This window comes from Homo sapiens, chromosome 6 (genome assembly GCF_000001405.40).
Source record: "Homo sapiens chromosome 6, GRCh38.p14 Primary Assembly".
NCBI lineage: Eukaryota > Metazoa > Chordata > Mammalia > Primates > Hominidae > Homo > Homo sapiens.
In genome coordinates this window covers 111,658,694-111,671,824 of record NC_000006.12, presented here as the reverse complement: position 1 = coordinate 111,671,824, position 13,131 = coordinate 111,658,694, and the positions used below count along the sequence as shown (strand labels likewise).

Below are 13,131 nucleotides of genomic sequence, written 5' to 3'. Positions count from 1 at the left end.
AATTCCTAAGGAACAAGAGGTTTCACGAAGCTTCCTTCAGATGTCACTGTGAAGGCAAAGAAGGACCTTCCTCTCTGCATTCTTGCTATTTGTTGGTGTGGCAAGTCAGTCAGTGTGCGCTGAGGGGTCCTTCTCAGCTTCCCACGTTGCGTCTTTGTGCCTGTTGCTGGTACCTCAGGACAGACTCCCAGTCCCGGTCCGTCATGATTTCCATTCTGCATTTTGATGTAGTCATGTCTCATGTCTCAGTTGGCTAGAGTATATTTTGAAGTAATTCTTTTTTGGAGAACAGTAGATGGTGGTACATTTTTCTGAGTCTTCCATACCTGAGAATAGCCTGCTGTTTCCTTGACACATAAGAAAGCTCCTTTGCCTGGTAGGTGAAGATGGAGGTGCGGGAGGAGGGGGTGACATATAAATTGGTTTTATAAAAGCTTTCCAGGCATCTTTGCCCAGCGTGAAAGAAGGTCCAGAAGTGACAATCCCAGAAGGAACTTAGAGTGGAGTATGTGAGGTGTGACCAAATAAAGGGCAAAGGGAGGCGGAGATGTTAGAACATTGGCAAGTTGTGTGAGAGGAGTGGACAAAAGAAGGGAAGACGACAATCTCAAACTGAATGATAACCTGGAAGCCGAAGGAAAAAATACTGAAATATGATGCTGAGATTAACGGGGGTGGTAGAGAAAAGTTACATCACCTTACCAGATGAGGAAGGTTGCTTTCGAGATGTGTAACAAGTATGGATGCAGTTCCAAAGAAGAGCTCCATCAGTTCCCCGCTAGCAGCCTGAGCTGAACGCATTCTCTGCATTGCAGTCTAGCTTGCTTTTCTGCAAGCAAGAGTTCAGAAGCTTTCTTTACTTCAAGATTAGAACTGATTTCATACTGATGGATTGTTGTATGTGAGAAATAAAAAGACTTAAGTAAAAGCAGTTTTCTGGGGTTGATGCATAAAATCAGTTATGCATTTTTACCTGTCATTTCACCTTAATACCTTTCTCAAATCCTTCTTTTCCCCTCTGCTTCCAGTTTCTCCCCGCCTCCCCACCACCCACCCACCCACCATTCTATCATTGTTGCCAACAGAGTTAGTATTCTAGAAAACACAGACCTGGTTATCTCACCCTGCTAGTTAAAAACGTCCACGGCTTCCCTTTGCCTTTCAGATAAATCCTAGAAAACGTAATTCTACATAGTTCTTCATAACTCTTTTTCTGTAGTCATTCCACAAATATTTATTGTGCACCTACTATATGCCAGGTACTGTTGCAAGCACCAAGAATACAGCAGTGAAGCAATAGACAAATGCTGCTGCCCTCATAGACTTCCATTCTTCTTTGAGGAGACAAACAATAAACAAAGATAAATAAGCAAAATATATTGAATGTTTGCTGCTGGTAACAGCTAGGGAGAAAAATAAAACAGGGAAGGGGAGAGAGGGGAGAGTGGCAAAGGAGCACCTCACTGGTGAGTAGAAGACCTAAAGGAAGCAAGAATCCAGCCAGGTGGGTATCTGGGAGCACAGCCTTCCATCAGGGGAAGGGAGAGTGCAGAGACCCTCCAGAATCAAAGGAGGCCAGCATGGCTGGAGCAGAGGGAGCAGGAGGTCCCAGAGGCCCCAGGGGCAAATCAGATAAGGCCTTTCTAGCTCATGGTTGAAACTTTTGCTTTTAGTCTTAGTGAGGTGGGAAGTGAGGGGATTTGAGCAGGAGAGTGACATGATTTCTCTCTTGCTGTCTTCCATCCTTCACACGTTACCAAGACACATCAAGAGATGTCTCTTGAACATGCAGGTCTCTCTTTGTGGCTCCCCTGTCTGCCTCAGAACCCTTCAAAGCCCAACTGAACATCATCTGCTTTGGAAAGCCTTCCCCATGTCCAGACCAAATGGGGTGCTCCTTCTGCTTGCCTCCATGACACCTAGCATATTTCTGTTGGGCCCCCCGTTTGTGTGTATTTCTCAGCAGCTTCAGAGAAGGGAGTCCCTTTGATGGATTCCCGAGGTCCAGCACAGGGTCCACCCCATAGTAGACTGTCAGTAAGTATAAGCAAATAAATGAGTGAATGAAACAGAAAAAAAAGAACTCACCTATGAGGTTTTTGAAACAAGGTTTTTAAATTTAGCCCATAGCCTGCAAAGCCTTTTAACTGCATTCCATCATCTTCACACATGGATATATATTTTCCTAGCCACAAGGTAGCCTCTGTCCTCAAAGTTCTTCTGGAAAATTGACCCTGTGATCATTTCAAACATCATGTTCCAACACTATTCTAGGCAGAGTGTCCTGGCTATTCTGTGCCCTGGCTCTTAACCGAACACCTGTTTTGTGGATTTGGCAGGACCTGGTAGAACAGGAACACTTTCTTTTTTTTTTTTTTTTTTTTTTGAGATGGATGGAATCTTGCTCTGTCAGCCAGACGGGAATGCAGTGGCATGATCTCGGTTCACTGCAACCTCTGCCTCCTGGGTTCAAGCGATTCTCCTGCCTCAGCCTCCCAAGAAGCTGGGATTACAGGCACCCGCCACCACGCCCGGCTAATTTTTGCATTTTTAGTAGAGCCAGGGTTTCGCCATGTTGGCCAGGCTGGTCTCAAACTCCTGACCTCAGGTGATCCACTCTCCTTGGCCTCCCAAAGTGCTGGGATTACAGGTGTGAGCCACTGCACCAGGCCAGGAACACTTTCTTAAGCAAACCACACTTATTCATTCATTGGAAGCACTTTCAAATCATTCAACAGGTGACTTTCTTGAATACATCTAGTCGCTTGATAATGACCTGAAGAAATAAGGGAAATTAATGAAACTGGTGGCTTTTTCCTTAAAGGATTCCAAATGCCACTCTGGTCCTCCCTCTGCCTTAGAGCCCTGAACCGTAGATACATTTTCCTTTGTGTTCAACATAACAACAGGAGCAGGTTTTTCATGGGAGAAGAAAGGGTTAGGACTCTCCAACCAGGAGGAGACTGGGAAGCCGAATGAAAGCTCTCATCTTAGCCGAGGGTGCGTGTCTCTCCCTGGCTCGTCCACAGTCCCTGGGGTTTTTCCTGCAGCTCATGATGTCCCCTCAGAGAGGGAACCCTGCCTGGAATGCCCAGAGGTCATGCTGTCACCTCCTTCTACAAGATTTCTCTTGGCCAGCATGTCTAGTGAGAGGAGGAGGGAGACCAGGGGAGAATGCGTGTGAAGAGGGTGGCCAAAGAGGGACTTTCGGCCCCCAGTCCTGTGTTCCAGCCTCACGTGCTCCTTGTTCTCAGGGGTGCAGTTCCGGGGCCTTCCTCATGGGCACCCTGCCTCTCTTTTTCACTCCTTTTTTTTTTTTTTTCTGGGACAAAGGAGTTCTCTATGATACTGTATTATCAACTTCAAATACAGAAATACCTGTGTATTCAGTTACATGAGTAGCTGTCTTTCTGTGTTTATTAATACAATGGGCTGAATAAAAACAGCTGTCCTGAGGTTATCTGGCAAGATGAGGAAAGAGAAACAAAGCAAGTCATTATTGTACCTTCTCAAGATAAGTTCTTTATTCTCATCCACACTCTTCCATCAGCATCTCCCTGCCCAGAATTTTCACAATGATCCTATACTAAAACCTAACTCAGTGTCACGGTTATTAACCAGTACGATAGCAAGGACACATGAGAATCTGTTAATACAAGCACATGCGATGGCGCAGGCTCATGCTGAGCAAGCACCATTAACACCCCTCCTCCTTCCCAGCGCCAGCACAGCACTGCTCAACAGACATGTAAACACCGGGCCTTTTATGCACAGAAGCAAGGGGAGCCTCAGACCCAAGGCCTTATGCACAACGTTGTGTGATTCCCTTTGAACGGAAAGCTCAGTTAGCAAAAGGAATTTGGGTATCTGATAATCTAAACATCATTCCCATTGTTAAAGTGCTTAATTATTCACATGGCACAAAAACCCAGGTTTTGCAACCCATAGTCAAATCCAGATGCAAACATGGACGGGTAACACTTAAAATCCCTGATTGTACAGATATGGCCCATCTGAGATCCATATTGGGAAGCTGCACAAATGGAAAGCTATAAAACACAAACACTCTTCTTTCATAAAAGACATTTTTTCAGATAGCTGAAAGCACAATGAATGTTGAGGTATTTTGTTAACAAATGGAGAAGCCAAGTTCAAGGGAAGTCAAGTCACTTGCTAAAAGATGCAAAGTTAGAAGTCAAGAAGTGACATCTATTTCGGTGCTCTGCCAATGAAAGTGATTTTTATTCCTTCCCTATAGAATCTAAAAGAAGACCAGGTATAGTGGCTCACAGCTGTAATTCCAGTGCTTTGGGAGGCTGAAGCAGGGAGGATCGCTTGAGGCCAGAAGTTCAAGATCAGCCTGGGCAACATAGCAAGATGCTATCTCTACAAAAAAAAAATAAATAAAAATAAAAATCAGCCAGGCATGGTGGTGCATACCTATAGTCCTAGCTGCTTGGGAGACTGAAGTGTGAGGAGGATCGCTTGAGCCCAGGAGTTCAAGGCTGCAGTGAGCCATGATCATGCCACTGCACTCCAGGCTGGGTGACAGAGCAAGACCTTGTCCCTTAAAAAATTTTTTTTCAAAGAATCTAAAAGGAAAAAGGGAAGACTACTGAGTTCATGTACAGCTCAAAGAAGTGGAATAGGGAAGTTTAAAAGAAAAGGGAAAAGAAAACACACACACAAGAATAGACACTGTTGGCAACCCTACAGAGTCAGAGTTTGAAAGTGAGAGTTGGAAACTTGACCTCTGAGTTTGCTGGAGGAAGCCAGCAACATGATTTAGAAAGGATAATATAATCATAATGGCAGGAAGTGAGCACAGTCTTCTTGGCTGGAGAATCTCAGTTGCAGTGTTTGGGGCAGACTGACTGGAAATGATGCTATGTCGGGGACCATGTTTGAAAGCCTAAAATCTGAGTTGACAAGGAGATGTTCCATGGAGGCTCTGGGAAAGAGGGACTCGAAGGCAGACCCCCACACAGCGGACTAGTAAGGTCTCGCTCTGTCACCCAGGCTGGAGTGCAGTGGCACCATTTCAGCTCACTACAGCCTCAACCTCCTGGGCTCAAGCAATCTTTCCACCTCAGCCTCCTGAACAGCTGGGACCACAGGTACATGCCACCATGCCCAGGTAATTTTTGTACTTTTTGTACAGACAGGGTTTTAACATGTTGCCCACGCTGGTCTCGAACTCCTGAGCTCAAGCGGTCTGCCTGCCTCAGCTTCCCGAAGTGCTGGAGGTGTTTTATGGATTGAGTACTGTTCAGTTGTACCCTATGAAAGTGACCCACCACAATGGCCTGTTTTCCTGAGCAATTCTAGAGAGACAGCAGAAGGGGCTGGTGGCTCCCGTGAGGCTAGAAGGGCAGAACAGCAGAGGAGGAGAGGGTTGGAACAAAATTGGGCAGTGGCCTCTGTGCTTGCTGGCTCCCCAGCCCCAAGCCGCCTCTCTGTGGGAACCAGGGAACATTCATACTGCTCGAACGTGGCTCTTCCCACAGTCAGACACCACTGGCCAGCCAGGATCTCCCCTCCTGTTGAAAAATGCTCTCCCTTGCAGCTCCCACTAGGAAACCTGGAAGGCCAAACTGTTTATGACATTGTTTCCCTAAAATGTGCTCAGACACCATGTTTTATAAAGTTTCTGTCTCTTCTTTCTGTTAAGAAAGGAGAAAAAGGATCCCAGCTACTCAGGAGGCTGAGGCATGAGAATTGCTTGAACCAGGGAGGTGGAGGTTGCAGTGAGCCGAGATTGTGCCACTGCACTCCAGCCTGGGCAACAGAGCGAGACTCTGTCTCAAAAAAAAAAAAAAAAAAAAAAAAGGAGAAAAAGGAAAAACATTTCCAGCACTCTTGTCCACCTCCTCAGTTGGAAGTGTAATAAAAAGATTCTTCTGGCTGGGCATGGTGGCTCACACCTGTAATCCCAGCACTTTGGGAGGCCGAGGTGGGCAGATCACTTGAAGCCAAGAATTCAAGACCAGCCTGGCCAACATAGTGAAACCCTGTCTCTACTAAAAATATAAAAAATTAGCCAGGTGTAGTGGCATGCACCTGTAGTCCCAGCTACTCAGGAGGCTGAGACAGGAGAATTGCTTGAACCTGGGAGGTGGAGGCTGCAGTGAGCCGAGATCACACCACTGCACTCCACCCCAGATGACAGAGCCACGCTTCATCTCAAAAAAAAATAAATAAATAAAAAATAAAAGGATTCCTCTCTCTAGTGTACCCATGTCTCTCAAGACACTCTCCCAACTGCCCTGGTGCCCAAACTCGTGTTTATTCCCTTCCTATTCACTATCCTTCACCTCTCAGGTATTAGGTAAAGCCAATGTCTTGGGGAAAAGTGGCTAAAAAGAGGAAATGACAGTTTTCTTTCTAACAAAAATATGAAACCATCTAAGAAGAAAAAAATGAAGTAGACCTATCTTTTTGTTAGTGTGCAGAGTAAAAGCCATTTAAAAAAAATTATTTAAAAAAACCATGATTTTCAAAATTCATATAGCTGAGAATACTGTATTTTAAATACAGGTTAAGTATCCCTAATCCAAAAATATGAAATTCAAAATGCACCAAAATCTGGAGCTTCTTGAGCACTGACATAACACGCAAAGGGAATGCTCAACTTACTGGTTGAGCAGCCCTATAATGCAAATATTTCAAAATCCTAAAAAATCTGAAATTTAAAACACTCCTGATCATAAGCATTTCAGAGAAGGGATACTCACCCTGAATTAACACAATCCATTCAATTTAGCTATTGTTTATAAAATAAAAACTAGCCCAAGCCTTGCTGAGTGGGCATATCTTGATTGCCACCGTTATTGTTGCAGAGGTACATTGTGAAGTTGCCAGGTCTGCAGGTCAGCCCGTTGCAGGTCCTGGTTTATGGATGGTTGGAAAAGAGCTAGTCCCATTCCAATTGTCATTGTCAGCCAAGTGCATTGTCAAAATATCCCACTTTCCTGGCAAAGCCCTCATTGGTATGTTTCCACTTGGCCCAGTGCGTGGAATTGTTTTCATATACTCCCCTTGCTTTGAGAGGTCTGGGCAGAAGAAAGCAGGAGAAGAAGAGGAGTGGGGAAGAGCGGAGGGGTGCAGACAGGAAAGGGGAGAGCGAGAAGGAGCCTGACCATGTGGGTCTGCCAGGACCCTGCATGGGCCAGCTTATGCCCTGTCCCCTGGCTCCAAATGCCCAGGAAAGACTGCCTCGGGAGACGCTACATGTTGAGGTTCACATCACCAAGTGTGCTGTGTCTGAGGCTTGGACCGAGCACTGGAAAAATGACCCAGTGGCCAATTAAACTTTCCATTGGCAGACATTGGATGAAAACTTTTTTTTTAAGTGAAATCTTTCCATTTGAGTAGTTTGTTTTTTAATGAAATGAAACATGTACTGACATGCGCTCTGTGGAGCAATAGGAGAGTGATTAATTAAACTCTGTGCTGCCATTTTGGAGGGAGGCACTCAGAGCCAGAGTCAAGCATTAGGAGGCGTTTCAGGGGCTGTAACCGCACCCAGAAGGATCTGTCAGGCCCTTCTGCCTGTTTCCCCTCAGTTCCTGTGGACTCCTGGAAGGGACAGAGACAAGGGAGATTTCTGCTGGTCCAAGCTCTGTCATTGCTGAAATATGAAACCAAGGACAGTACTAAAAGATGCGGCAAGGCAAATGCTTTGGAGAGTGCCAGTTCTGCTACGTGATTACACACTCTTCCTAATCTTTCTGGGCAATATGTATGAAGAAATAAAAACAGTAAATAGCCTCGTAATCAGTTCAGGTTTTGTGGCCAGATGAGGTCAGTTCAGATCAGTTCTGTAGTCAAGTGAGTTACAAAAACTTGATGGTGTTCAGAGCTCGTTGGATGGTGGAATTGTGGAGAAGGAAATGCTGGCCTCTGTCCGCGTTTATCTAGAGCCGGAGGAGGCTGCCTTTCATTCCCGAGCATGCTCCAGTTCCTCCCTTGCTTCCAGCTCCCCGCCCCCATCCCCCATTTTCAGCCATTGGAGGAGGATGTAGGCTAATTAGCCACAGCGCTGCCTCTCACTCCTCCCATGCAACTGAGGAAGTCGCTGGTAAAGGCATGCATGGCACAGAGGCAGGGACCCTGACTCCTTCACCAAACCTCTCTCCCTAAAATAAGGGGTCGCCCTGACACGTGAGTGAGGTTATTTTACAATAATTGCATTGAAGGCCTACTTCAGTACAGCAGAAACAATATGTGAATTTTTATTACCTCAAGAAATGATAATGGCAGAGAATAAGAAAGCATCCTGAAAAGGTCTGGAGAGACATGTGACTGACAGGCTGTGGTTGACAGCCAGGAGGAGCCAGGATACACTCAGCTCCACAAGTAACAACACAACCAAGAGGACTGGCAACAGACCCCGAAGTCCGAGTGTTCCCTCTGCAGGGGGACAGGCTGTGCTCTGGCCCAGCGCCTCTGGCTGTGCTGACAAGTTTCTAGCTAACGGGTCGCCACCTCCCCTAGAAGTAAAGGAAGCTCCATGCATATGGTGTGTGCTCCTGCTGGCTGTAGCCCTGGGAAATAGGGGAAGAAATCTTGGTTTCTATATGGCTTGACATCGGGTTCTTGCTCCTGCAAATTAACCGGGTCAGATACTGGGGAGGATTCCAGATGACAGCCTCACCGGCCAGGAAGCAACCAAAGCACAGCACAGCTTGACGGGGAGCTGGCAGAAGGTGATACAATGAAAAAGGGAAGCAAAACTAGAGAATAGTGGCTGGCAGTAGTTGGGAGGAGGTCAGGACACTGGCCACCCCCTAAGCATGGTAGTTCCTGTAGTGTTAAGGCAGCCAGTGTGCAGGAGGCCGCACTCTCTGAGGAGTTAGCGATCTGTCTTCTGTTAGTGCTATGCAGCCCAGTGTTTCAACAGCTTCCCAAGAGTCAGAAAAACCTCAAATGATGGATGGCCTGGCTGAAGTCATCAGTAGAGATAGGCCCCGGACATGGTCTATCTCCCCATCAAATTCACCAAACCTCAGGGCACTGTGGGGTTGCAGGGCCAGACAGTGCCCAGCCACGCTGGCATGATGGCAGATCTCCAACAGTGGGGAACTAAGAGTTTGCCCAGGCATGAAGAAAACGAATTTATGAAGTTCATAAATGGAGTTTATAAATGCTATAAACAAGGGGCAGCATGCTTTCATTCTGTGTGGATTTTTTTGTCTGCTTTATTCATATATTGTTGTCAGTTTAATTGAAGTATAATCTACACACAATAAAATTCAACAATTTTAAGGATGCAGTTTATTGAGTTTTGACAAACATAAACAGTCACACCACCCCATACATAATATAGAACAGGGGTTGGCAGGTCTGGCTCCCAACCTGTGTTTGTTTTGTACGTTTTTAAAGGGTTGTTAAAAAGAAGAAGACAGGGATCATATGTGACCCGCAAAGCCAAAAATATTTACTGTCTGGCCTTTTACAGGAAAAGTTTGTTGACCCGTTGACCCTGACAGAACATTCCCATCCCACTTGGAGTTCCCTCTGGCCCCTTGGCAGGGATTCCTCCCCTCCCCCAGGCAGCCACTGATCTGCTTTCTATAGATGTAGTTGCGCCTTTTCTAGAATTTCGCATGAATGAAATCATACCGTATGTTGCCTGTTGTGTCTGGCTTCCTTCACTTATCATGTTTTGAGAGTCATTCTGAATTTTTCATGTCTCAGTTCTGCACTCCTTCTTTACTCCTGAGTAGCATGGCAGGGTTTGACTCCTGGGGGGATGGGAGTACTCCGCATGTTTTAGCCACATGCAGACGCAAAGAAGAAGAAAGGGGATCTGCAAGTGCGGCGGTCAGGGCCTGGATCCCCGGGGTGCCCACTCTCACTGCGCTTGTCTTTGCAGGCATGAACAACCGGGAGGTGCTGGAGCAGGTGGAGCGAGGCTACAGGATGCCCTGCCCGCAGGACTGCCCCATCTCTCTGCATGAGCTCATGATCCACTGCTGGAAAAAGGACCCTGAAGAACGCCCCACTTTTGAGTACTTGCAGAGCTTCCTGGAAGACTACTTTACCGCGACAGAGCCCCAGTACCAACCTGGTGAAAACCTGTAAGGCCCGGGTCTGCGGAGAGAGGCCTTGTCCCAGAGGCTGCCCCACCCCTCCCCATTAGCTTTCAATTCCGTAGCCAGCTGCTCCCCAGCAGCGGAACCGCCCAGGATCAGATTGCATGTGACTCTGAAGCTGACGAACTTCCATGGCCCTCATTAATGACACTTGTCCCCAAATCCGAACCTCCTCTGTGAAGCATTCGAGACAGAACCTTGTTATTTCTCAGACTTTGGAAAATGCATTGTATCGATGTTATGTAAAAGGCCAAACCTCTGTTCAGTGTAAATAGTTACTCCAGTGCCAACAATCCTAGTGCTTTCCTTTTTTAAAAATGCAAATCCTATGTGATTTTAACTCTGTCTTCACCTGATTCAACTAAAAAAAAAAAAGTATTATTTTCCAAAAGTGGCCTCTTTGTCTAAAACAATAAAATTTTTTTTCATGTTTTAACAAAAACCAATCAGGACAGGTGTTTGTTTTTGTTTTCTTTTTTATAAATATGAATATATATAATATATATGTCCCTGTACATATACAATGTGGGTGCTAATGTGGAGACTGTGGCCGGCCTGAGCCACCAAGCTGCGGGACCCAGAGGGAGGATTTTACTGCAAGTCAGCATCAAAGCACCGGTGTTATTCTGAAAACACCAGTGGCCTCATTTTTGGCTTTTGCAAAGCATGAATTTTTTCATTTGGATTGCACTTTCCTGGTTCATGACTGTACCTGTAGGTGGTTGTTACTTTGACTCTTTTCAGGAACCACCCCCCAAGCTGAATTTACAAGTTCTGTTAGCACTATTTGCTTCAACTTACTGCGATTTGTTCTCAAAACTTAAAAATAAGCAAGCAAATGGCTGATACTACCAAGAGAACTGGAAGATGGATACCACACAAACTTCTTGTATAAAAATATGAATGCTGAAATGTTTCAGACATTTTTAATTTAATAAACCTGTAACCACATTTAAGTGATCTAAAACCCATAGCATTGTAGTCATGGCAACCCGCTAAACTTTCTCATGCAACTAAAATTTCTGGGGGAAATGAGGGTGGGGGTTGTACATTTCCCATTGTAAAATAAGTGTTTTAAATGTCCTGTACTGCTAACGAATGACTTTCTATATGTCCAGGAGTTCTCCAGTGGAATAACTATGCACTACTTTACATTTCATGGGGATGCACAAAAACAAAAAAGTATTACATTTTTAGTTGCTGTTTGTACCAACCTTAAATTACATATGTTTAACAACAACAAATCAAAAATCCTATTTCTATTGAGTTTTTAATACTGACTAGCAACTCTGAAGTCTTAATTCCTTTTTTGTTATGATTTATTTGTGAGTTTACATTTTTAAATTGTTTAACTTTCTTAATTTAGTAATTAAAAAGAGAGCATTTTACATTTGAATTTTTTTTTTGTTTATTTGTTTAAATCATGGAAGGTACTCGTAGTTCTGTGGCACATCTGTCCCACACCAGATGGTATGGAATCACCTGGTGAATTTAGCCTTTGTGCGATGACTTGCAAATGACAGAAACATTCAGAACATCTGGAGAGTTCTTTTCCCTCTAGAAAGGGTAGGCTCTTGACCAGCTATTTCAGAGGATCATTAAAGCAAAAGTAGGCATACCTTACCATCTGAATTTATCAGACATTTTTTCTAACCGGAATTTACTGTGTCCTGCTTGTAGGAGAAATAGACAATCACAAGAAGAATCTTTCTTGTCCTGGAGTCAGTATATTTATTTCCAAATGTCCCCCTACTTCTGTAATGAAGGAGCTAACGGAGCGACAACCTGGTGTGGTAGGAAGGGCAGTGGGTGGACGCAGGCTACCTGTCCACGCCTGGCTCTGTGATCATTCAGCTTCAGGACCCTGAGCCACCTCCTGGCATCTGTCATTTTCAGGGCCTGTCTGTAGAACTGAAGGGGTTACATGAGATTCACTCCTTAGATCTCTACAGCTCTAAGATCCTGTAATTCTAAGATCACTGATGCCATGCGGGGTCATACAAAGAGGATGGTTTTCTTTGTTGAAATAACCTTTACATTTAGGGAGGGCTTCCAACATTAAAAAAAAAAAGATGAAACAGGTTCTCTGATTAATCAAAACTTTATGGTATTGTTTTTAGCATTAATAGACTTGCTAAACTGATAAAATTTATTTATTTATTTATTTATTTTTGAGACAGAGTCTCTGTCACCGAGGCTGGAGTGCAGTGGTGCCATCTCGGCTCACTGCAACCTCTGCCTCCCGGGTTCAAGGGATTCTCCTGCCTCGGCCTCCTGAGTAGCTGGGATTACAGGTGTGCGCCATCATGCCTGGCTAATATTTGTATTTTTAGTAGAGAGAGGGTTTCACCATGTTGATCAGGCTGGTCTCAAACTCCTGACCTCATGATCCGCCCGCCTTGGCCTCCCAAAGTGCTAGGATTACAGGCATAAGCCACAGTGCCCAGCTGATAAAATTTTAAAGATCTTATACATATATTATTATCACATTATTAGGTAGTTGATTAACATATTCTATATCTTTTTCAAGATAACTTTGCTTTTAATCCTCACACCCCACTAAGTTGGATAATTTGCAAATATTTCTGGAGGATTTTTATGTTCTGATTCATTCAAAACAATCTGGAAAAAAAAGAACCTGTTTTAAATAGAAATTATTTTTAAAAAAAAGTCTCTTCAAAGTATAGCCTTTAATTTATCAGTTGAGTTCATGGTGGACTGTCTTATATGAAAGAAAGCTAAGGACTTGGGTCACCTCAAGGGCACTCTTAGGAAACAGCGTGCTGTAGAGTGAGGTTGCAGAGTGAAAGTAAGAGAACATCTGTAAATACAAAGAAGTCAAAGACTTCCAGGTTTTTTCTTCCAAGAGGCAAATGTGCTTTCAAGAGATATTCCTGAGGTAGACCATTCCAGAGAGTCCCCACACCTCCCAAGAAGCCTCTCTTCCTCATAAGTTGTACAAGCTTAGGGTGAGGAAACGGAATTTGCTGACCAGAAACTTCTCCTGTTAAGAAAGAAAAGTATCGCCTTAATG

The 13,131-nt window shown here is 44.7% G+C and overlaps 1 protein-coding gene across 21 annotated transcripts in view, besides 3 other annotated features; it reads left to right on the top strand.

Moving 5' to 3' along the window:
• The window catches only part of FYN (FYN proto-oncogene, Src family tyrosine kinase), a 213,121-nt gene extending 201,628 nt beyond the window's left edge, over positions 1 to 11,493 (top strand). For all 21 annotated transcript variants that reach the window (XM_047418569.1, XM_047418561.1, XM_005266892.5 and 18 more), the window contains one exon: positions 9,878 to 11,493. In XM_047418569.1, the coding sequence (XP_047274525.1) occupies positions 9,878 to 10,086 (209 nt within the window). In that variant the 3' untranslated portion in view covers positions 10,087 to 11,493. The remainder of the gene's footprint in view (positions 1 to 9,877) is intronic.
• Positions 8,416 to 9,097: an enhancer, noted in NCBI's record as "H3K27ac-H3K4me1 hESC enhancer chr6:111983931-111984612 (GRCh37/hg19 assembly coordinates)". NCBI's record gives its function as "activates a minimal SCP1, AML or CMV promoter by ChIP-STARR-seq in primed H9 embryonic stem cells {active_cell/tissue: H9 hESC(primed)}" and the evidence as "EXISTENCE:reporter gene assay evidence [ECO:0000049][PMID:30033119]".
• Positions 9,098 to 9,779: an enhancer, noted in NCBI's record as "H3K27ac-H3K4me1 hESC enhancer chr6:111983249-111983930 (GRCh37/hg19 assembly coordinates)". NCBI's record gives its function as "activates a minimal SCP1, AML or CMV promoter by ChIP-STARR-seq in naive and primed H9 embryonic stem cells {active_cell/tissue: H9 hESC(naive and primed)}" and the evidence as "EXISTENCE:reporter gene assay evidence [ECO:0000049][PMID:30033119]".
• Positions 9,780 to 10,463: an enhancer, noted in NCBI's record as "H3K27ac-H3K4me1 hESC enhancer chr6:111982565-111983248 (GRCh37/hg19 assembly coordinates)". NCBI's record gives its function as "activates a minimal SCP1, AML or CMV promoter by ChIP-STARR-seq in naive H9 embryonic stem cells {active_cell/tissue: H9 hESC(naive)}" and the evidence as "EXISTENCE:reporter gene assay evidence [ECO:0000049][PMID:30033119]".
• Positions 11,494 to 13,131: the final 1,638 nt, after the last annotated feature.